General features: G+C 36.5%; 1 pseudogene; it reads left to right on the plus strand.

Moving 5' to 3' along the window:
• On the plus strand, window positions 20,947–22,709 carry KRT8P21 (keratin 8 pseudogene 21; annotated as a pseudogene).

The following is a 25,991-nucleotide window of genomic DNA, read 5'->3' on the forward strand; positions in this document are numbered from 1 at the left end:
TTTAGCATGAAGGGCTGTTGAATTGTTTCAAAGACCTTTTCTGCATCTATTGAGATAATCATGTGGTTTTTGTCGTTGTTTCTGTTCATGTGCTGGATTACATTTATTGATTTATGTACGTTGAACCAGTCTTGCATCCCAGGGATGAAGCCGTGGTGGATAAGCTCTTTGATGTGCTGCTGGATTAGGTTTGCCAGTATTTTATTGAGGATTTTCACATTGATGTTCATGAGGGATATTGGCCTAAAATTCTCTTTTTTTGTTGTGTTGCTACCAGGCTTTGGTTTTAGGATGATGCTAGCCTCCTAAAATGAGTTAGGGAGGATTCCCTCTTTTTCTATTGATTGAAATAATTTCATAAGGAATGGTACCAGCTCCTGTTTGTACCTCTGGTAGAATTCAGCTGTGAATCCATCTGGTCTTTGACTTTTTTTTGGTTGGTGGGCTATTAATTATTGCCTCAATTTCAGAACCTGTTATTGATCTATTCAGAGAGTCAACTTCTCCTGGTTTACTCTTGGGAGTGTATATGTTTCCAGGAACTTATCCATTTCCTCTAGATTTTCTAGTTTATTTGTGTAGAGGTGTTTATAGTATTCTCTGATGGTAGTTTGTATTTCTTTGGGATCGGTGGTGATATCTCCTTTATCATTTTTTAATGTATCTATTTGATTCTTCTCTCTTTTCTTCTTTATTAGTCTTGCTAGTGGTCTATTTTGTTGATCTTTTCAAAAAACTGGCTCCTGTATTCGTTGATTTTTTGAAGGGTTTTTTGTGTCATTATCTCCTTCAGTTCTGCTCTGATCTTAGTTATTTCTTGCCTTCTGCTAGCTTTTGAATTTGCTTGCTCTTTCTTCTCTAGTTCTTTCAACTGTGATGTTAGGGTGTCAATTTTACATCTTTTCTGCTTTCTCTTGTGGGCATTTAGTGTTATAAATTGCCCTCTACACACTGCTTTAAATTTGTCCCAGAGATTCTGATATGTTGTGGCTTTGTTCCCATTGGTTTCAAAGAACATCTTTATTTCTGCCTTCATTTCGTTGTTTACCTAGTAGTCATTGAGGAGCACGTTGTTCAGTTTCCATGTAATTGTGCATTTTTTAGTTGAGTTTATTAATCCTGAGTTCTAATTTCATTGCATTGTGGTCTGAGAGACGGTTGTGATTTCTGTTCTTTTACATTTGCTGAGGAGTGTTTTACTTCCAACTATGTGGTCAATTTTGGAATAAGTGTGATGTGGTGCTGAGAAGAATGTATATTCTGTTGATTTGGGGTGTAGAGTTCTGTAGATGTCTATTAGGTCCACTTGGTCCAAAGCTGAGTTCAAGTCCTAGATATCCTTGTTAACCTTCTGTCTCATTGATCTGTCTTAATATTGACAGTGGGGTGTTAAAATCTCCCATTATTTTTGTGTGGGAGTCCAAGTCTCTTTGTAGGTCTCTAATGACTTGCTTTACGAATCTGGGTGCTCCTGTATTGGGTGCATGTATATTTAGGATAGTTAGCTCTTCTTGTTGCATTGATCCCTTTACCATTATGTAATACCCTTCATTGTCTCTTTTGTTTTTGTTGGTTTAAAGTCTGTTTTATCAGAGACTAGGATTGCAACCCCTGCTTTTTTTTTTTGCTTTCTATTTGCTTAGCAGATCTTCCTCCATCCCTTTATGTTGAGCCTTTGTGCATCTTTGCTTGTGAGATGCGTCTCCTGAATACAACACCAATGGGTCTTGAATCTTTATCCAACTTGCCAGTCTGCGTCTTTCAATTGGGGCATTTAGCCCATTTACATTTAAGGTTAATATTGTCATGTTTGAATTTGATCCTGTCATTATAATGTTAGCTGGTTATTTTGCCCATTAATTATGCAGTTTCTTCATAGCATCAATGGTCTTTACCATTTGGCATGTTTTTGCTATTTTCTGTGTTCTTGTACTAGTTTTTGCAATGACCATTGCAGCATTCCCCATATCTTGATTGAATTTATATTTTTGTTATGTCCACCGTCAATTATGATCTGTGAGTTTCTTTACAAAAGTGTATGAGTTTTATCAGCTGTATGGTACTCACACCAAGCATATTGTTTGTCAGATGGAAGACACTTAATTAATGCTGGTTCAATTATTGTTTGATGGATTTAGCTAATGTTAATTGAACACTTGCTGAGTTTCTGAGCTTATTTTAAATGCTTTACCTGCCTTATGTAATTTTATTCTTAGCAAAATGATATAGGGCTGCTCCATTATCATCTTGTTTCAAGGTTAAGAATGTAAGCTTTAGAAAGATTCACAATCATTCTCAAAATTACACAGCAAGCAAGTGGAAGGGAAAAGGTGTAAATCCTTACCCCACCCTGTACAACACTATAACATATAAAGAACTGAGCCCCATGTCAAAAGAATGGGTTGAAGTTTGTAGGATTGCTTGAAAATTGATGTGTTTTTTTTTTTTCTGGTAGGTTTTGGAAGATAAGTAATCTTAGCCTTTGGAAGACTATTTCGTTGGTCATATATTTATTAATTATCTATGAGTTTCTATGTGCTGTTTAAGTAATGGATATTAATAGTGAACAAAATATGTAGTATACATTTCCATTAAGCATTAATTTTAATGAGAAATAGAGACAATAAATAAATAGATACCATGTGTGACCAACTCACACAAATTTTTATGGCCTTACTCAACAGACAGGTCCTCAGTGATAATGTGACTTGTTATTATATTTAAAATAGATAAATTCTCTTATTTTATATTCTACCTCCTTACATATTTTCTTGTCAATAATCTCCAGTATCTACAATTCCTGGGGGTTTGAAATATTTAAGGCTGATTGAAGAAAAATATATGACCTCAAGCGGCATTAACCAACAACAAAATTTATTTGAGTTGCTGTTAGAGAGGGTTGCATGAGAGGGAAAATCCCCCACACAGGAATCTATTCAGGCTCCAGAGCTGGAGTCACTACTCAGAAAGGGAGGAAAGCAAGGGAACTCCTGAAAGAGAAAAGTGTTATCCAGAGAGGGGAATCATTTGTCTAGATGAAGTTCAGTAGCACTAGAAGGGAATAACTGGATCAGAGCACTCTATAGCAGCTTGAGGCCTAATACCTTTAGGACTCTATCTTATCCATAAGTGCTGGGTGTGATTTCCTGCATGTGTGAAGCAAGTGGTCTCTACCTGGTTAAAAAATTGTTGTTTGGGCTATTTTTAAAATATGTAGATCTATAAACATTTTAGTTTGGTGCCAGTAGCCATTTTGAGCTAATGAGTCTCAGCCTGCAGGGAAAAAATTAACAACCTAGGGACTAATACAGACAGGATATTTCTGGCTCACTTATAAGACAAACATACATATATATTATAATTATTTACCTTGTTTATTGTCTATCAATGTCACTAGAACATAAGCCAAACATTGCTGACCATTCAATCTTCAGGTCTTAGTAATTTGCTAGGTACCCAACAACTCCTCAATAAATATTAATTGTCAATTATTTTGTTAATCTTAAAAATGTGAAATATAACTCATCTCAACATCATAAAGGAAAATAGTTTGCTATATAATCAAAATAGTTACTTAAATCAGAATTCATTAAAATTTTGAATATTTAAAATAACTATGTAATTTAATTCTTATTTTTTATAGGTACATAGTATGTGTGTATTTCTATTATATACATGAAAATATTTAATATTTTGATACAGACATATAATGCATAATATCACATCAAGGTAATGAAGTACCTCTCACCTCAATAATTCACCATTACTTTGTTTTACAAACATTCCAATTGTACTCCCTCAGTTATTCCAGTTATTCTAAAATGTATAGCACATTACTACTGACTGTAGTCACCTTGTTGTGCTATAAGATATTAGATCTTATTCATTGTATCTTACTGTATGTTTGTGCCCATTAACCATCCCCATTTTCCACCCCCTCCCATTCCCCTTCCCTGTCTCTGATAACCATCATTCTATTTTCTCTCTCCATGAGTTTAATTTTTAGCTCCCACAAATGAAGGAGAACATGTGAAATTTGTCTTTTTGTGCCCAACTTATTTCAATGTCCTCCAGTTTCATCCATGTTGTTGCAAATCACAGGATCTCATTATTTTTTGTGTCAGAATAGTACCCAATTGTGTATATGTACTACATTTTCTTTATCCATGGGTCTATTGATGGACGCTTAGGTTGGTTTCAAATCTTGGCTATTGAAAATTATGTTGCAACAAACATGAATGCAGATATCTCTTTAATACACTAATTCCCTTTCTTTTGGATATATATTTAATAAGGAGATTGTTGGATCTCATGGTAGTTCTATTTTTAGTTGTTTGAAGAACCTCCATATTCTGGCCATAGTGTCTGTACTCATTTATATTCCCACCAACAGTGAAGGAGGGTTCTCTTTTCTCCATATCCTCACCAGCATCCATTATTGCCTGTGTTTTGGATAAAAACCATTTTAACTGGAGTGAAGTGATATCTGATTGTAGTTTTAATTGTATTTCTCTGTTAATCAATGATGTTGAGATATTCCAATTTACCATTTGTATGTCTTTTGAGAAATATCTATTTTGATTTTGTGTCCATTTTGTATTCAGTTTATTAGATTTTTTCTATTGAATTGCTTGAGCTCCTTATATATTTTGGTTATTAATTCTTTATCAGACAGGTAGTTTACAAATATTTTCTCCCATTCTCTAGGCTGTCTCTTTGCTTTATTTATTTATTTTTGCTGTGTAGAAGATTTTAAGCTTGATGTGATCCTATTTGTACACTTTTGCTTTAGTTGCCTTTGCTTTGAGGTATTAGTCAATAAATCTTTGCCAAACCAATGTCTTGAAGCATTTCCCCAGTGTTTTCTTTTAGTTGTTTTATTGTTTGAGATCTTATATTGAAGTCTTTAATCCATTTGATTTGATTTAATTTTGGTATATCATGAGAGACAGGGTTCTAGTTTCATTCTTCTGCTTATGGATATCCAGTTTGCTGAGCACCATTTATTGAAGAGACTGTCCTTTACTGAATGTAAATTACTACAAACTTTGTTGAAAATGAGTTCACTGTAGATGTACTGATTTATTTCTGGATCCTCTATTCTGCTCCACTGGTCTATGTGTCTGTTTTTGTGCCAGGACCATGCTGTTTTGGTTACTATAACTTTGTAGTATAATTTGAAGTCAGGTAATGTAACTCCTCCAGTTTTGTCTTGTGGTTTTTTGCTCAGTAATACTTTGACTACTCTGGGTCTTTTGTGGTTCCATATAAACTTTTTTTTCTTTTTCTGAGAGCAGTGCCATTGGTATTTTGATAGAGATTGCATTGAATCTGTAGATTGTTTTGGGTACTATGGACATTTTAACAATCCATGAACATGGGATAGCTTTCCTTCATTTTTTTTTTCTGTCCTCTTTGATTTCTTGTATCAGTGACATTGTTTTCATTGTGGAGGCCTTTCACTTCATTGGTTAAGTTTATTCTTAGGTATTTAATTTTATTTGTAGCTATTATAAATAAGATTACTGTCTGGATTTTTTTCCAGATTGTTCACTGTTATCATGTAGAAATTCTACTGATTTTTGTATGTTGATTTTGTAGCCTGCAACTATACTGAATTCTTGTATCAGATGAATAGGTTTTTGGTGGAGTCTTTTGGTGTTTCCAAATATAAGCTAATATCATCTGCAAACAAGGATAATTTGACTTCTTCCCTTCTGAAGTTTAGAAAGGACAGTATAGATGTCTTTCCTCTCCAAATATCATGTTGAAATGTAATTACCAATGTTGGAAGTGGGGCCTATTTAGAGGTGATTTGATTATGAGGGTGGATTACTCATAAATAGTTTAGCACCATCCACTTGGTAATAAATGAGTTCTTGCTCAGTTATTTCATGTGAGATCTGGTTGTTAAAAAGTCAGAAACCTCCCCCTGCTTGTTGTCTTGCTCCCAGTCTAGTAATGTGATGGACCAGCTCCTGTCTGCCTTCCACCATAATTCTAAGTTTTCTGAGGAGGCCCTTAACAGAAGACAAACAGATGTTTGTGCCAAGCGTATACAGCCTGCAGAACCATGAGCCCATTAAACCTATTTTCTTTGTAGATTGCCCACTCTCAGGTATTCCTTTGCAGCAACTCAAGAACAACTTAATACACTTTCCAATTTGGATGCCCTCTTACTCTTCTCTGACTGTTCTAGCTAGGACTTTCAGTATTAGTTTGAACAGTAGTGAAAGGGGGCATCCTTGTCTTATTCCAGATTTTAGAGAAAAGGCTTTCAACTTTTCCCCATTCAGTATGATACTCGCTGTGGATCTCTCATATATGACTTTTATTGTGTTGAGGTATGTTCCTTCTATACCCAGTTTTATTAGAGTTTTTATCATGAAGGAATGTTTAATTTTATCAAATGCTTTATTCTCATCAATTGAAATGTGTATGGTTTTATTCTTTATTCTGTGTATATGATGTATCATATTGATTGATTTACATATGTTGAACCATCCTTACATCTCTGGGATAAATACCACTTGGTCATGATGAATAATATTTTTAATGTGTTGCTGAATTTGGTTTGCTAGTGTTTTTGGCAGAGGAGTTAACAACATTCATCAGAGATATTAGCCTGTAGTTTTCTTTTTTTTTTTTTTATGTATCTTTGGTTTTGATATCAGGGTAACACTGGCCTTGTAGAATGAGTTTGAAAGTATTTCCTCCTTCTCTGGTTTTTGAAATAGTTTGAGTAGGATTGGTATTAGTTCCTCTTTAAATGCTTGGTAAACTGAGCAATGAAGCCATCAAGTCGCAGGCTTTTCTCTGCTGGGAGATACTTTGTTGCAGCTTTGATTACATTACTTGTTATTGGTCTATTCAGCTTTTGGATTTCTTCATTGTTCAATCTTTGTTGGTTGTATGTATCTAGGAATTTATCTATTTCTTCTAGCATTTCTAGTTTATTCTCATATAGTGGCTCATATTAGTCTCTAATGATCCTTTAAATTTCTGTGGTATCCATTGCAATGTCTCCTTTTATATCTCTGATTCCATTTATTTAGGACTTCTGTCTTTCTTAGCCTGGCTAATTTGTTGATTTTGTTGTCTGTTATTTTGTCTGTCTTTTCAAATAACCTACTTTTGTTTTATTGATCTTTTGTATTGTTTTCTTATTTTAATTTCATTTATTTCTGTGCTGATCTTTGTTTCTTTTCTTCTAATTTTGGGTTTGCTTTGTTTTTCTCTTTAAGATTCATTGGTAAGTTGTTTATTTGTAATTTTTCTACTTTTTTGATGTAGGCACTTATGACTATAAACATTCCTCTTAGTACTGCTTTTGCTGTAGGTCTAGGTTTCCATTTTCATTTGTTTAAAGAAATTTTTAAAGAAATTTAAAATTTAAAAATTTAAAAATTTCTTTAAAAATTCTGGTATGTTTCAATTTTTGCTTTCTATTTTTTTTACATCTGTTGTAGGTTTTTTGATTTGAAATTACCATGAGGTTTGCAAACAACATCCTATAACCCATTATTTTAAACTGATAATAGCTTAATGTGGATTGTACAAACAAACAAGCAAAGAGAAAACTGACAGAAATTCTACACTTTAACTTCTTCCTCCCAACTCTTGACTTTTTCTTGTTTCTATTTATTATACAGTTTATTACCATAAAAGTTGTAGTTATTACTTTTGGTAAGTTTATCTTTTAGTCTTCCTACTCAAGATATGCAGAGTTCACACACCACAATTATACTGTGCAATAATCTGTATTTGTCTGTGTACTTACTGTAACTAGTGAGTTGTCTGCCTTCAGATGATTTCTTATCTCTTATTAACATTCTTTTCTTTCAGCTTGAAGAACTCTCTTTTTCATTTCTCATAAGGTAGGTCTGGTATTCATGAAATTCTTCAGTTTTTGTTCGTCTGAAAAAGTCTTTATTTTTTCTTCATGTTCGAAGGATATTTTCACTGGATATAACATCCTAGGATGAAATATTTTTTCTTCAGGACTTTAAATATGTCATGCTATGCCACTGTCTCCTGGCCTGTAAGGCTTCCCTGAAGAAATTTGCTGCCAGATATGTTGAAGCTCCTTTACATGTTTATTTCTTTTTTTTACTTTTATTTTCTTTTGCTGGTTTAGGATCCTTTTTTTTACCATTGAGCTTTAGGAGTCTGATTATCAAACGTTTGAAGTAGTCTTATTGGGTTAAATCTACTTGTTGTTCTATTGCTTTCTTATACTTGAATATTGAAATCTCTCTTTAAGTTTGGAAAATTCTGTTATTATCCTTTTTAATATATTTTCTACCCTAATCTCTCTCTCTACCTCCTCTTTAAGGCTAATAACCCTTAGATTTGCCCTTTTGAAGCTATTTTCCACATCTGGTAGATATGCTTCTTCATTTTCATTCTTTTTTCTTTTAACTCCTCTGTGTATTTCCACATAGCTTGTCTTCAAGTTCATGAATTCTTTCGTCAGTTTGATGAACGCTGCTGTTGAGAGACTATGATACATTATTCAGTTTGTTCATTAAAGTTTCTATCTCCAGAATTTCTACTTGATTGGTTTTAATTATTTCAATCTCCTTGTTAAATTTAATTGATAGATTCTGAATTCCATCTCTATGTTACTTTAAATTTCACTGAGGTTTTTCTAAGCAGTTATTTTGAATTATCTGTCTGGAAGGTAACATATCTCTGTCACTCCAGAGTTGGTCCCTGGTGGCTTATTTAGTTTGTTTGATGATGTCATGTTTTCCTTAATGGTCTTAATACTTGTGGATGTTTGTTGGTGACTGGGCATTGAAGAGTTAGGTATCTATTGTAATCTTTGCAGTCTTGGCTTGTTTGTACCTATCCTTCTTGAGAAGGCTTTCCACATATTCAAAGGAAATTGAGTGTTGTGATATAAGTCTTTGGTAACTACAGCTGTATGTGCATTAGGGGCCACACAAGCCTAGTAACACTGTGACTCTGGCAGACCAAGGTACCACCTTGGTTATCTTGGGTAAGATCTAGAAGCATTCTCTAGATTACCAGGCAGAGTCTCTTGTTCTCTTCCCTTACTTTCCCCCTAAAGAAATAGAATCTCTCTGTCCATGCTGAGCTGCCTGGAGTTGGTGGAGGGGTGTAGCAACCACTCCCATGGTCACCACCTCTTGGACTGTGCTGGATCACATCTGAAGCCAGGAGAATACTGGGTCTTGCCTAAGGCCTATGACAACTATTTCCTGGCTATCACTGATGTTTATTCAAGCCCCTAAGGCACTTCAGTCAGTGGTGATGAATCCTGTCAGGACTTGGTCTCTCTTTTTGAGGGAGTGGGTACCCTTCTGGCCCAGTACTGGTCTAGACATGCCAACCAGGAGCTAATGTCTAGGATTGAGAACTTTGAGAATCTGCTGGGTGCTTTTTTTTTTTCTTTTTTCTGTGACTGAGCTGGTACCAAAGTTGCAAGACAAAGTCCTTTTTACTCTTCCATCTCCTTTACTCAAGCAGAAACAGTGTCTCCCCATGGCTACCATAGCTGGAAATGTGCTGGGTCATACTTGAAGCCAATATAGTGTTGGGTCTTTCCTAAGTCCCATGGTGGCTGCTGCCTGGCTACTGCTGATGTTTATTCAAAGCCCAAGGTCTCTTTAGTCAGCAGGTCATGAATTCTGCCAGGACTACTTCCCTTCAGGGCAACGGGTTTCCTTCTGGCCAACGTGGGTCTAAACATGTCATCTTGGAGCTATGGCCTGGAATGGGGACTTTAAGACTCTGCTTGGCGCTTTATTTTACTGTGGCTGAGTCAGTATCTAAGGTGGATGACAAAGTTCTCTTTATTCTCCCCTCTCATCTTCTCAAGTAGAAGAAGGAGTCTCTCCCAGAGCTATAAGCTGCACTGCCTTGGGTTAGTGAAGGGGTAATGCAAGCACTCTTTTGCCTTCCCAGCTGGTGTTTCACTGGGTCACATGCACCCCAAGTTCACTGGCTCTGAGCTCAAGACAGCACCAAGACTTGCTCAGAAATTACAGTCCCTGTGGCCTGGGTTGTCTTTAAAGTTTAAGGCCCCAGAGCACTATAGCCCATGGTGGTGGGGCTAGCTGGAACTCAGGTTCTGACCACTGGGATGGACAATGTCCCTCTGGCTAGAACTGGTCATGATGCTCCCTCCATGGCCACTGGCTGAATTCTGCCTGGCATTACTTTCCACTGTGACAGAGCAGCACTTCGTTCCAATGCAAAGTCCCACAGGCACTTTGCTCTACCTCACACACAGAGATTCTCATTATAAGCCATGCTGTACTCCCAGGAGATGGGGAGTGGTGGTGTAGACAATTAAAGACTGTCTTTTCAACCTTCTTAAGTGCCTCTTTTCATGACATGATGCCAAAACCAAGTACTGTGATTGCTTACCTGATTTATGCTTCTTAAGAAGGTGCTTTCTTGTATTGATACTTGTACAGTTTGGTGTTCCTGTGCGGGGAACAATTGCTGGGTTCTGTTTGGCCATCTTGCTCTGCTGGTCTTTGACAATAACATTATTTTAATTATAATTTGTAAATATATGGTTTCTTTTAGACATTTTAATATAGGAAAAAGTTTTTCTTTTAGAAATCTAACTGCAGTTTCACTTAGTGTTTATAGAATAAAAAACAGTAAAATGTCGTTAATTATAATTTTAAATTTGGTATAGAAGCTATTTGTAAGGAAACATGACTTAAAGTCATCTAGTCTCTTTACATTTTCCCATTCTTTGACAATTATTTTGCCTATAATGAAACAATAATATTTCTTTTAGTCACTAATACTTATTTTTATCTAAACTTCAAAAACATGTAACTTGGATTTCATAAAAACCAATTTTTATAATACTTTATATAATTAAAATCTGAGGTTACATTAACAAATACCTGCTGCATAAACATGTTTGGGAACAAACACATTTGTTTATAGGTGAAGATTCAACTCAACTCATGAGGGTAGAAGTGTGCTCAAACATTACCCAGCAGTCTAGAGTTTTTGCTAGTCTGTTTCTACTCTGGCCATCAAAAGATAACTCTAACTGAACTTGATCTCCTGATACAAACAAGAGAAAATGGAACAAACTATGTAAAACCACTCTTTCAGAAATTGTACAACATGCAGTATAGGACTATGATCCTTACAGGAGAAAAATAAGAGAGGTTAACTCTATGATCTCTCTGGCTTTCTACCTGCAGTCAACAGAGAATCACATGAATGGTATACTAGTCACATAGGGTTGAGGAAAAAGACTTTAGAGTTTGGGGAGATTGATGTGACGGGGATTTTTGGAACAGATGGTGAGAGATAAATGAGCTATGTAGAAAAAGAGCTCCAGAAACATGTATATGAATTTCCTTAAGTGTTTTGGCCAAATACTAAACCGCACACTTACAAGGTAGAATATTACAAGGATTGGCAAGAAACAGTTCTAGAAGAAAGACAAACTACTGGAGAAATGAGAGATAAAAAATCTTGAGAGTTCACACTTTTGAACTGGTCAGAGTAGAGTTTTCATTGAATGTGTGATACATTTAGTAGAAACCTCCGAGTACAGAGATTTTCAATTAGAGGTAATATTGCCCTTTAGGGATGTTAGAGACAATTTTGGTTTTCACAATTATAGGGTGTACTACTGGCAACTTATGGATAGAGGATAGAGATGTCACTAAATATCAGTAAATGCAATGCACAAAACAGCCTCCTACAACAAAGAGATATTTAGGTACAATGTGAAAATTACTGATGTTGGGTAACTCCATCTTGGTAGTACAGCTAAACTAGCCCTGGAGTAAAGGTTACTGAGATGTTCCCAAAGATTAAAATTAAGCTGTGAAAGGAAAATCCAATTCAATAGTATATTTACTGCCTATCAAACAGAACACTGTTTAAAGAAAGACAACATAATCAGAACACAAGGCAATGCAATAATCACAATGTCAATCATACAATCAAAAATTAATCAGTGTGTGAAAAAGCACAAAAATATCTCCCATAACTCGGGGAAAAAATAAACATTTAATCTGAAGTGTTAGAAATGAAAGAGATGATGGAATGAGCAATCAAGAACTTTAAATATGCCATTACATATATTCTTTAAAATGTAAAGAAAAATATAAGCATAATAACAAGATTAATGAAAGGCATAAAAATAGAATTGCTAAGGATAAAAAATACAATATCTGAAATTTAAAAATTAACTAGATTGGACAAACTGCTGATAAATAAACCAGTGTCGAATCTCAAAACATGTTTAGTGAAAAAATAAAGCCAATATGAAAGAGCCCCTAGATTAAAATTTGTATAGTTCCATTCATATGAAATTCTAGAATAGGCAAAAATAATTTATATGGACAGAAGGAAAGTCAATGCTTGACTGAGGGTAAGGATATATTGGGAGATTGACTGCAAAGCAGTATGAGGGAACTTTATTGTATTATAGAATATTTTTTATTATGATATTTACACAGGTATGCCTATATATGTCAAAACTCAATAAACACTATACTTAAAATGGATTCATTTTACTATATATGACAAATAAAGATGAAAATAATGAGAAAGAGACATCTTGTAAATTAACCTTACAAAATGCCTTCCAATGTGAAATGGCAACATGTGACAATCATCTTAAATAAGAGCCTGTGAAGTAAAACAAGTGATCATTAACATCTTCAAAGCATTCTTCTGGAAATAGATTGATGAGTCCTAAATTTTCATTAAGGTACTTGCAAAGGCTAAATCATAGGGAGGTAAAATATATAATATGTAAATAAACCAACTTGAATATAGTCACATTTTAAAAATAAACATTTGAATCTGAACAGTCATGGACACTGGGAATTTCTATTTCTGATTATGTTATACCTTCAGAGAACATTTTTACATATCTTGATGTGTGTGTGTGTGTATTTGTGTGTGTGAGAGAGTGTGTGTGTGTGTTGGGAAATTCTATTAGCACAGCTTTAAATTTTCCTTGACTTAATTTTATCATCACAACATTATCTGCTTTCATTTCAGGTGCTTCAAACTTATCAGCCATGGTGATGTGTTTAAAGCAAAGAATGTCAGAGATAAATAGCATAGCAGGCCTCTGTATTATTGTCAATAACACTGAATGTCTACATAAACCGCAAAATTAAATGACTTGAAATATTACAAAGTACTGTGTTTGCATAGGCATCAATTGGACTTAGAAACAGGAGTCCCAGAGGGGATTAATTTGCATAACATTTACATTGCCACTCTTGTCAATTAGCTCAGACATAAGCCAACTCAGTAGACACATATGGGGCCAAACTAAAGGAAAATATGTCAGTTAATTTTAGCTTCCATAACTAAAGGCACACCTAGAGCACTGGGGAGAAAGGGGAAAAATAGAAAGGTCAGACCTAAACTTAATATTTTAAGTGTTTTAATATTTCAAAACACAAATCATATTTTTGTATGTGTGTGTATGTGTGTGTGTGTGTGTGTGTCTGTTTTCTTTCCTTCAAACCTAAACCAAGCCTGTTCAGAAGCACAGATAGTTTTTATTGTAAAGTTGCTTAGCCATACTTCTATGGAGCAAAGCATCCCTTTCAAACTCTGAAAATGGATCACTAAATTCAGTTTACCAAAAGTTGGCATGTAAATTTTCAAACAAATGTTGGCAACATCCACATCTATTTATGTTTCAGTTAGATTGATTTTTTTATTCTGCTAGAAGATTTCTGATACATACATTATAAACTTGTGTAAAATTCGGGAACTCAATTTAGAAACCTGGTAAACAATTTTTATTTCAAAATTTAGAATAGAAAAGCAAAATTTATCACTTGAGAATAAATTCTAAAGTTCTCCATAAAGCATTCAAAGCAGTTTACCTCTCTAATAGAAACAATACAGAGTTTGCAAGTCCAAATGCAATCATGAACATTAGACATAGATTTTGTTTCCCTGCAATATCATAAACTACCAACTCAACCTTAGCATTACCAGTTTATACATTCTCAGTGTGCTTGCATTTCCTATTAAAGCTTTGAAAATTTGTATATACATTGAAAGAGAATATGATGCTTACGAGTCCAAACATCATTATGTTATTGTTACCCAAGGTGAGAATATGATTTCATATGTATGATTATTACCTTATTTTATGTCAGTGATGTCAAACCAGAAACTTTTGTTCTTTTTACTCCCTCTGCATATATGTCATCTCCTTCTATCTATCCACTTTAACTTTCTGTGAATGTCTGCCAGGTTAAAGACCCAGCTCAGAGTCCCTGCCAAATTCTTTCCTTTGTCATGATGAGGGGAATGAATTCAACTGACTGTTATCTGCAAATAAATTTAGAACTAGGAGCCATCATCAGCTGCTGTGCTAGAATGCCTGTTTAATGGCAAAGGCCATAGCTTGTATCTTTACATGCCTTTAAGGTAGCATATTGCTTGGAATATAGAAAATGCCTAATACTTATAACAACAAAAAAAGAATTAATAAATAAATTACTCAATTCTAGTGCATTTATTTTGTAAATAAAAGAAATATACACAAGTATCTAAATAACTTGCAGCTATTTAGTGATAAAGCTTCATAAGAAAAATTCTTTAATATATTTTTCTTCCCTTTAAAAATTTATAAATATAGCAGATATACAGAGGAGTGCTTATATATTATACTTAACAGATATAACAACAATATAATATATATACCAAATAATATATCTAATCATGTTTTCAAAATAAAAATTTTATTTACTTGTGAAATATCTAAGCTCATAAAATAAAAAAGAAATAAACATTTTAAAATTCTTCTTAGTGTACCATCCTGATTACATTATCTCCCCTACCTGAAAATGTTTGTACTTTTCTGAGTTTGTATACATCAGTTTCATGCTTTTTCTCTTACCACAGTTTTGCAAAATATACATATTCCTAAATAGTACTTTTAAATGTAGCCTGATTTTTAAATGTATATAAATGGAATTATACCTCATCTTAAATTGGGAGGAAATATTCATATTGATTTATGGAATTCACTCATTTTTATTGTTCTATGCTATTCCATTGTTTCTCATTTACTCTCACCATTGATTGATATTTTGATTGTTTCCAGTTTTTAACAAATACAAACAACAATGCTACAAATATTCTTATAGAGATTTATTAGCACACAAGTGAAAGAATTTCTCAAGATATGTTAGAAATAGAATTACTGAGTCATAGAGTACACATAATATTTATCTTTTGGGTAAAATAATGTATAATTTAATTTTTCTCAGTCGTATTAGACTTAATTCTTACAGAAATAAAATTTTTACTAATGAGATAAAGAAGTAACCACAAATGTTTCCGTTTAACGTGGAAACCTAAATTCAATATAAATTACATTTTCAGAAATTTTCATTTTGAATGTTTGTAAATCTCAAGATCGCTGTTTGTGAACAATGTTTATATATGTTTTCTTTTTTCACTTCTTGACAAAATTACCCATATACTTTTATTTTCAAAAATATTATTTGAGAAGCACCACGATGGTTGACTAGAAGCAGCTGGTATACACTGCTCTCACAGAAGAGACAGAATAGTGAGCAAACACTAGTTCTTCTAGTGGATCATCCAAACAGCCACATAGGGATTCATCAAGGAAGCAATTGCAGCTAGTGCATACTGCTCTCAAAGAGAGGAGATGCAGCTAATCACTCCAATTGACCATGGCTCTATATTTCTCTGGGATGGAGCCACCAGAGGCAACTGACAGGTTCTCTGCCATTGCTGCTACCACAATCCTTGCCCCTGCTGCCCCCAAGCTGGGGAGCGGACAAAATGCCTGAGATTATCCCAGGGCAGCAGTGTGTATCTTGTGAGTGCTGAGCAGAGATCCCTGGGCAGTACTCAAGCAGGAGAGGAGCCCACTCTCTCAGAGAACTGAGAGGGGTGAGTCACATGCGCTCATGGGGAGCCATGGGAGTAGGGTGTGCCTCCTTCCACAGGGCTGGCCTGGAAAAAGTATGGTCTATCTCCCTGCTGTGGCCTCTGCCCACAGGAACCCCATGGCTTGGAACACCTAAGAAAAGAAATGCAGGTGTAGTGCTAGTGATCAAATGGGGCTGATACATTCTGGCTGTGTCCCTACCCAAATCTCATCTTGAATTGTAGCTCCCATAATTCCCACATGTTGTGGGAGGGACCCAGTGGGAGATAATTGAACCATGGGGGCAGTTTCCCCCACATTGTGCTTGTGGTGATGAATAAGTCTCAAGAGAGCTGACGGTTTCATAAGGGGTTTCCCCTTTTGCTTGCCTCTCATTCTCTTTTGCCTGCTGAGATATAAGATGCGCCTTTTGCCTTCTGTCATGATTGTTAGGCCTCCCCAGCCACATAGAACTGTGAGTCCATTAAACCTCTTTTCCTTTATAATTACCCAGTGTCGAATATGTCTGTATCAGCAGCATAAAAACGAACAAATACAGGGACACCCCCAAGGCCCAAGAGTCAACCTCATGAGAGGGTCACCTCTCTCCACAACACACCACAGAATAGGGCTGCAAACACCAGGAAATATAAAAAAGCCATCCAGCTGAGTAAAAGCCTAATTACAAGCAATGACTTTTAAGCACCATCTAGTGAATCAACGCCCAAACTACAACAATAAAAATACGTTGCTAATATACCCTACTGTGAAACCAAAGGCAAAAATGTGGCCACAAATTAAGACTCTACCCAGAGCCTCAGCCTGCCAAAAACATCCAGAAATAAAGTCAACTGACTATACTCAACTTACACCAGAGTTAAAAGAGCACTAGCACTCTAAGAAGAGAAAGAATCTGTGTAAGAACTCTGGTAATTCAAGAAGCTGGTGTCCCCATACCTGCAAATGAGTCCACTAGCTTCCCAACAATGGTTCATAACCAGTCTGAAATAACTGAAATGACATATAATTCAGAATCTGGGTGGCAAGGAAGCTCAGTAATATTCAGAAGAAAGTGGAAACCCAATCCAAGAAATCCAGTGCAATGTTTTGAGAGCTAAAAGACAACATAACCATATGAAGAATAAGCCAAACTAAACTTCTAGAACTGAAAATTTCACTACAAGAATTTCATGATACAGTCAGAAGTATTAACAGAGTAGAGCAAGCTGAGGAATGAATTTCAGAGCTCAAAGACTGGTTCTTTGAATCAAGTCAGTCAGTCAAAATTATAGAAAAAGGATTTTTTTCTTAAATGAACAAAACATCTGAGAAATACAGGATTATGTAAATAGACCAAATCTATCACTCACTGGCTTTCCTGAGAGAAAAAGAAAGAACATAACAACTTGGAAAATATGTTTGAGGGTATAGTCCACAGAAATTTTCCTAATCTTGCTAGAGAGATTGACATGCAAATCCAAAAAAACAAAACAAAAATACAGGAAAACCCTGCTAGATACTCTACAAGATGACCATCCCCAAGGCACTAAGTCATTAGTTTCATCAAGGTCAATGCAAAAGAAAAATCTTAAAGGCAGCAAGAGAGAAGGGACAGGGAACTCCATCAGGGTAGCAGCAGACCTGTAGCAGAAACCTTACAAGCCAGAGAGATTGGGGACCTATTTTCTTGTGTTTTTTTTTTGTTGTTGTTGTTTTTGACGGAGTCTCGCTCTGTCGCCCAGGCTGGAGTGCACTGGCACAATCTAGCCTCACTGCAAGCTCTGCCTCCTGGGTTCACGCCATTCTCCTGCCTCAGCCTCCCGAGTAGCTGGGACTACAGGCGCCTGCCACCAGGCCTGGCTAATTTTTTGTATTTTTTAGTAGAGACAGGGTTTCACCATGTTAGCCAGGATGGTCTTAATCTCCTGACCTCGTGATCCGCCCGCCTCAGCCTCCAAAGTGCTGGGATTACAGGCGTGAGCCACCAACGCCCGGCCATGGGGACCTATTTTCGGCATGCCTAAAGAAAAGAAATTCCAACAAAGATTTTATATCCTGCCAAAATAAGCTTCAGAGTAAAGAAGAAATAAAATCTGTCTCAGATCATCAAATGCTGAATTTGTTTTGACCAGACCAGCCTTACAATAGGTCCTTAAGGGTATGCTAAACGTGGAATAGAAAAATGACTCCTGGCCAGGCGCGATGGCTCATGCCTGTAGTTCCAGCACTTTGGGAGGCCGAGGCCGGCGGATCATGAAGTCAGGAGTTTGAGACCAACCTGACCAACATGGTGAAACCCCGTCTCTACTAAAAATACAAAAATTACCCAGGCATGGTTGTGTGCACCTGTAATCCCAGCTACTCAGGAGGCTGAGGCAGGAAAATCGCTTGAACCCAGGAGGCGGAAGTTGCCGTGAGCCGCGATCACGCCAGCCTAGGTGACAGAGTGAGATTCTGTCTCAATAACAACAACAACAAAAAAGTAAGAAGGGAAAGAAAAATGATTCCTGCTACCACAAAAACACACTTAAGGACATAGCCCACGGGTACTATGAAGCAATCACACAGCCAAGCCTGCATAAAAAAGAGCTAACAACATGATGATAGGAGAAAAATCTCACATATTAATACTAACCCTGATTGTAAATGGGCTAAATCCCCCCAATTAAAAGTTATAGAGTGGCATACTATATAAAAAAGACAAGTTCTAATCATCTGCTATCTTCAAGAGATCCATCTCAAATGTAACGATACCCACAGGCTCGAAGTAAAAGGATGAAAAAAGACATACCATGCAAATGGAAAGCAAAAAAAGAGCAGGAGTCACTATTTTTATACTAGATAAAACAGATATTAATCTAATAAAAATTAAGGACAAAGAATGGTATCTCATAACGATAAAATGTACAATCCAACAAGAAGACTTAACTATCCTAAATATGAATGCACCCAACATTGGAGCACTCATATTCACAAAACGAGTTCCTCATGGCCTAAAAAAAGACTGAGAAAACCACACAATAACAGTGGGAGATTTCAACAACCCACTGACAGCATTATATAGACCACCAAGGCAGAAAACTAAACTCTGGACCTAAGCTCAATACTTCATCAATTAGACCTAATAGACATCTACAGAACACTCCACCCAAAAATCACATAACATACATTTCTCTCATCTGCACATAGAACATATGCTAAGATCAACCACATGCTCTCTCATAAAGCAAATCTCAATAAATTCAAAAAAATAAAATCATATAAAGCTCACTTTCGAACCACAGTGAAATAAAAATAGAAATCAATATTAAGCAGATCTCTCAAAACCACACAAATACATGGAAGTTAAACAACTTGCTCCTGAATAATTCTTGTGTGAACATTGAAGGCAGACATTTAAAAATTTTTTGTCATTAATAAAAATAGTAACTCAACAAACAAACATCTTAGAGATGCAGCCAAAGCAGTTAAGAGGAAATTTTATAGTGCTAAACACCTTCTTCAAGAAGTTAGAAATATCTCAAATTAACAATCTAACTTTGCACCTAAAGGAACCAGAAAAAAAAGAACAAACTCCCGCTAGAAGAAGAAAAAAAATTAACTAAAATCAGAACAGAACTGAGTGAAACTGAGATGCAAAAAGTCTATATAAAAGCCCAATGAAACCAAGAGTTGGTTTTCTGAATAAAAATAAAGAGTTGGTTTGAAGAATAAACAAGACTGATAGACCACTAGCTAGATTAACAAAGAAAAAGAAATCCAAATAGGCACAATAGAAATGACAAAGATGACATTACAACTGATCTCACAGAAAGACAAAAGATTCTTAGAGACCATTATAAACACCTCTATGCACACAAATTAGAAAATCTAGAGTAAATGGATAAAGTCCTAGAAACACAATCTCCCAAGATTGAACCAGGAATAAAGTGAAAACCTGAACAGACCAGTAACAAGATCTGAAATTGGATTAGTATTTAAAAACTTACCAACCAAAAAAAGCCTAGTACCAGATGGATTCATAGTTAAGTTCTACCAGATGTACAAGGAAGAATTGGTATCAGTCCTACTGAACTCATTCCAAAAAAACTGGAGAGGAGACTTCTCCCTAACTCATTCTACAAAACCAGCAACATCCTGATGCTAAAATCTGGCAAAGATACACCAACAAAAACAAAAAAACTTCAGGCCAGCATCACTTATAAACATAAATGCAAAAATCATAAACAAAACACTAGCAAACACAACAAAACAATGGATGTAAATCCAGCAGCACATCAGAAAGTTAATACACCAGAATCAAGTAGGCTTTATTCCTGGGATGCAAGTCTCATTCACCATAAAGCAAGTCAATAAATTTGATTCACTACATAAACAGAATTAAAAGCAAAAGCCATATGATCATCTCAATAGACACAGAAAAGTATTTTTATAAAATCTAACATCTCTTCATGATAAAAACCCTCAACAAACTAGGAATTGAAGGAACACACCTCAAAATAATAAAAGCCAGACAGTAACAGTCATCTGTAACAAACCCATCACCAACATCACACTGAATGTGCAAAAGCTGGAACCATTCTCCTTAAGAAATGGAACAAGGATGCCTACTCACACCAATTCTATTCAACATAGCACTGTAATTCCTAGCCAGAGTAATCAAGCAAGAAAAAAAAAATGCAAGGCATCCAAATAAGAAGTCAAACTGTCTCTCTTTGCTGATAAAATGATTCTGTACCTATAAAACCCCAAAGACCCTGCCAAAAGGCTCCTAGGACTGATCAACAGTTTTAGTACAGCTTCAGGACACTAAATCAATGTACAAAAATTAGTAGAATTTCTATGCACCACTAATGTCAATTCTCAAAGCCAAATGAAGAATAAAATTTTATTTGCAATAACTAGAAAAAAAAAGAAATACCTAGGAATACATCTAACCAAGGAGATAAAAGAGCTCTACAAGGAGAACTGTAAAACGCAGATACAACACAAATAATCAGAAAATCTTCTATGTTCATTGATTAGAAGAATCAATATTATTAAAATGACAGTACTGACCAAGAAGCAGCTTCTCCTCTCCTTCTGGAATCTATGCCTGGTTCAGCCTGCCTGCCTCCACTCCTGCCTCCACCATGTCCATGAGGGTGACCCAGAAGTCCTACAAGGTGTCCACCTCCGGCCCCCGGGCCTTCAGCAGCTGCTCCTACAAGAGTGAGTCCGGTGCCTGCATCAGCTCCTCGAGCTTCTCCCGAGTGGTCAGCAGCAGCTTCCCGGGTGGCCTGGGCAGAGGCTATGGCAGGTCCTGTGGTATGGGAAGCATCACCACTGTCACCGTCAACCAGAGCCTGCTGAGCCCTCTTAACCTGGAGGTGGACCCCAACATCCAGGCCATGCGCACCCAGGAGAAGAAGCAGATCAAGACCCTCAACAACAAGTTTGCCTCCTTCATCAACAAGGAGCAGCAGAACAAGATGCTGGAGACTAAGTGGAGCCTGCAGCACAGAAGATGCCTCGGAGCAACATGGACAACATGTTCAACAGCTACATCAACCTTCGGCAGCAGTTGGAGACTGGGCCAGGAGAAGCTGAAGCTGAAGGCAGGGCTTGGCAACATGCAGGGGCTGGTGGAGGACTTCAAGAACAAGTACCAGGATGAGATCAATAAGCTTACAAAGATGGAGAATGAATTTGTCCTCATCGAGAAGGATGTGGATGAAGCTTACACGAACAAAGTGGAGATAGAGTCTCACCTGGAACGGCTGACTGATGAGATCAGCTTCCTCAGGCAGCTGTCTGAAGAGGAGATCTGGGAGCTGCAGTCTCAGATCTCAGACACATCGGTGGTGCTATCCATTGACAACAGCCTCCCCCAGACATGGACGGCATCATTGCTGAAGTCAAGGGGCAGTACGAGGAGCTTGCCAACTGCAGCCGGGCTGAGGCTGAGAGCATGCACCAGATCAAGTATGAGGATCTGCAGATGCTGGCAGAGAAGCACAGGGATGACCTGCAGCATACAAAGACTGAGATCTCCAAGATGAACAGGAACATCAGCGGGCTCCAGGCTGAGACTGAGGGCCTCAAAGGCCAGAGGGCTTCCCCGGAGGCTGCCACGGCAGATTTCGAGCAGCATGGGGAGCTGGCCCTTAACAATGCCAACACCAAGCTGTCCGAGCTGGAGGCCGCCGTGTAGCAGGCCAAGCAGGACGCAGCGAGGCAGCTGCAGGAGTACCAGGAGCTGATAAACTTCAGGCTGGCCCTGGACGTCCAGATCGCCTCCTACAGGAAGCTGCTGGAGGGCAAGGAGAGCTGGCTGGAGTGTGGGATGCAGAACATAAGTACCCATACGAAGACCACCAGCGGCTAGGCAGATGGGCTGAGCTCGACCTATGGGGGCCTCACAAGCCCCGGCCTCAGCTACGTCCTGGGCTCCAGCTTTGACTCTTGGGCGGGCTTCATCTCCTTCAACCGCACCAGCTCCACCAGGGCCATGGTTGTGAAGAAGATGGAGACCCTCGATGGGAAGCTGGTGTCTGAGTCCTCTGACGTCCTCCCCAAGTGAACAGCAATGGCAGCCCCTCCCAGACTATCCCTCCTGCGGCTGGCTGCCCCAGAGCCCGGGAGGGAGGCTGCTGTGTAGGGGAGCACAGGGAAGAGAAGACCCACCTAAGGCTCAGCCCTGGACTTCAGCCCACCCGTTGGGGGAGTTCCTGCCTGGGGTACCCCCCTTGCCCATGCCTCCAGCTACATAACAATTCAATTGGTTTTTTGTTTTTTTACAAAATAAAACCTCAGCTAGCTCTGCCAACTGTCAAAAAAAAAAAAAAAAAAAAAAATCAATACTACCCAAAGCAATCTACAGGTTAAACACTATTTCTATCAAAATACCAATTACATAATTTGCAAAAAGGGAAAAAAAAATAAAATTTATATGTAACCAAAAATGTTCCAGAATAGCAAAAGCCATCCTGAGCAAAATACAAAACTGAAGAAATCACATTACCTGACTTTAAATTATACTACAGAGCTGCAGTAACCAAAACAACATGGTACTGGCATAAAAACAGATATAGACACCAGTGGAAGAGAATAGTGAACCCAGAAATAAACCCACATACAACCACTTGGTCTTGGATGAAGCTGACAAAAACAAGGAATGGGGAAAGGACTCCCTATTCAATAAATGGTGCTGGAATAACTGGCTAGCCATATGCAGAAGGATGAAACTAGACCCTCACCTTTCACCGTATACAAAAATTAACTCGATATAAAGTAAAGATTTAAATGTAAGACCTCAAACCATAAACATCACAGAAGAAAAACTAGTTAATGCCCTTCTCAACTTTGGCTTTGTCAAAGAATGTTTGGCTATGTCCCCAAAAGGAAGTGCAACAAAAACAAAAATTACAAGCAGAACCTAATTAAACTAAAGAGCTTCAGCACAGCCAAAGATACTACTGATAGAGTAAACAGATAATCTGCAGAATGAAAGAAGATATTCACAATTCATGCATCCAACAAAAGTCTAACATTCAGAATCTATAGGAGCTGGAGGCCATGATCCTAAGCAAATTAAGGCAGGAACAGAAAACCAAATACTTAAAAGTGGGAGCTAAACATTGAGCACATGTGGACATAAACATAGGAACAATAGACACTGCAGATTTCTACAGAGGAAGGGAGGGAGGGAGTGTGGGTTGAAAAACTATTTATTGGATACTATGCTTACTAGCTCAGTGCAATATAGCCATGTGATAAACCTGATCATGTAACCCCATATCTATAATAAAAATTGAAATTAACAAAATATATATCACTTTACATATGATTATATATATGTATATATATTTTATGCTTAATCTGTAATCAACACAATGGTGGGTAAAACATTCATTTTAACTTCACCAGGGTACATTCTTAAGATCAGAATTTCCATCTTTATTGATATTCATTCTACATTAGTACCGATAGAGATTCTCATTCATGTTAAATGAAATATTTGGAATACATAGGTTCAATTTAATGGAAGAACAACATGTTTGCTAAGAAATCATGTTGTGTTACAGTCCAAAGTAAAGTGAGATGGAATTTGGCTATCACATTATATGAGATAGAATCTTCCCCATGATATTAATGCCAATTAACGGTTCAAAGAAATCCCTAATTGTCATCTTGCTTGACTGTGCTTTTAAATTTTAAAATATATATCTAAAATCAAACAAAAATATTTTTGGAATTTATAAAGATGCACACATGCTGAACTTAATAGATAATATCAAACATTTTTCTGTAGTGGGTGTATAAATTTGTACACCCCTAGGCAATATAAGAGTCTCCAAAGCTGTACATTTTGCAAATCTTCAATATTGTCAGACTTTTTATATTTTCTTAAATGGAAGTTATGATATGGTATCCCATACTTCAATTTACATTTCTCTGATTGTTATTGAGGCTAAGCATCATTTTATTTGTTTACTGAACATTAGTATTTTCTTTTCTGTGAAATTCCTATTACAATGTAGTTGCAAACTATGGATTCTGGAACTAAACTGCATTCAAATTCTGGCTGTGCCATTCACTATATGTGGGATTTAGGCACATTAAAAAAAAAATCTCCCTGCTTAATGTATCACCTATAAAATAAGGATTGCAAGAATATCTAACTGATAATGCTGCTGTGAGGATTAAATAAGTCAATATGTATAATCTGCATTAAAAGTGTCTCCACATAGTTACCTATATAAGTGTTTATTATCATTTCTTCGGACTGTCTTTTTTGTTGGTTACAATATACAATATTTAGAATATACAAAATTTTAGTTAAATTTTTTTAGAATTTCTCATTTGTACTTTTTCACATCTGGCTTATTGGTATTGATAGTCTCTTGCCTGTCATTGTTTCAGTATATTTTATATTTCTTTAAAAATATTATTTTATATTTTACATCTGATCTTTTAACAGCTAAATTTGCTTTGGGCCTAATTATACATTTTTAGATGTTTATCTCATATTTCCTCATGGTGATTGGTTTTTCTCATAGTTTAGTAATTTTCAATGGTGAGCCTACCTTCCTTGGACATTTGTGGGAAAACTTTGAGGCCTGGGTTTGAAATTATTTCCTACAGAGATGAATTGCATGCGCTTCTCCCGAGTGATTGTGCTTAATTATTGCAAGGGATAATAACAACTCGCACTCTTCTTCAAAGGCATTTTCAAGTTTAAAATTTGGGGATTTTGAGGGAAGGTTGTACAAATGTAGGGTTATTGAAGATTTGTGTTTAGAATTCAGAGACAATGATGAGACTGGGTTAAATTCCCAAATTCTTACTCTCCTGAGAGTTTTGTTATTCTTTCAGGTCATCTACTAAGAATTCTTTCTTTGGGGATGTAGAATATGAATATGGGATAATGGGGTATGGTTGGGGTTAGTGGCCTCTCACGAGCTTTGTTCTATGGCTTGACTTAGATGCTAGCATGCCTAACTCATTGAAAGCGGGCCTCTAAACTTGCAATCATTGGCTCTACTTTCTTTTTCTTTTCTGATTTCTAAAGCATTCTCTAAATTTCTAGCTACATCAGGCATGCTTTAAATATATATCTTTATATTTTATCCAGCATTAATAAGTGTACTGTATCTGGAGTAGTTTTTCTGAACATTTAATCCTCAACTGTTCTCTGAATTTTTAATCCTTAGCAAGCATACTCTGATTTTTCTCACTAGGTAAATTTAAATTTCTAAAAGTACGTGGCTGGTGAAAGTCAATATCCACTTCGTACGTTTTTTTATGCAGTTCTATTAGAACTTTTCAAGTACACAGTTCATATGTTCAAACACATGGTTCACATCTGAATTCAATACTAGACTATAGAACTAATCAAAAGCAGGCCATATCTGAGGCTAACTAACAGATCAGGAAGTAAGAATGGAAATAGAAACTATTTAGAGGAAATAATGATATGTATGTGTAAATATTTTTTGCATATTTATGAAGAATAAGAGTTTTGAGATTGGAGAAGATAGTTTTGAAAAAGCATTTACAGGAAAGTTTATGAAACACAAATGATTCTATATAAGTTTCTTTTTCCTTC

This window comes from Homo sapiens, chromosome 1, assembly GCF_000001405.40.
Source record: "Homo sapiens chromosome 1, GRCh38.p14 Primary Assembly".
NCBI lineage: Eukaryota > Metazoa > Chordata > Mammalia > Primates > Hominidae > Homo > Homo sapiens.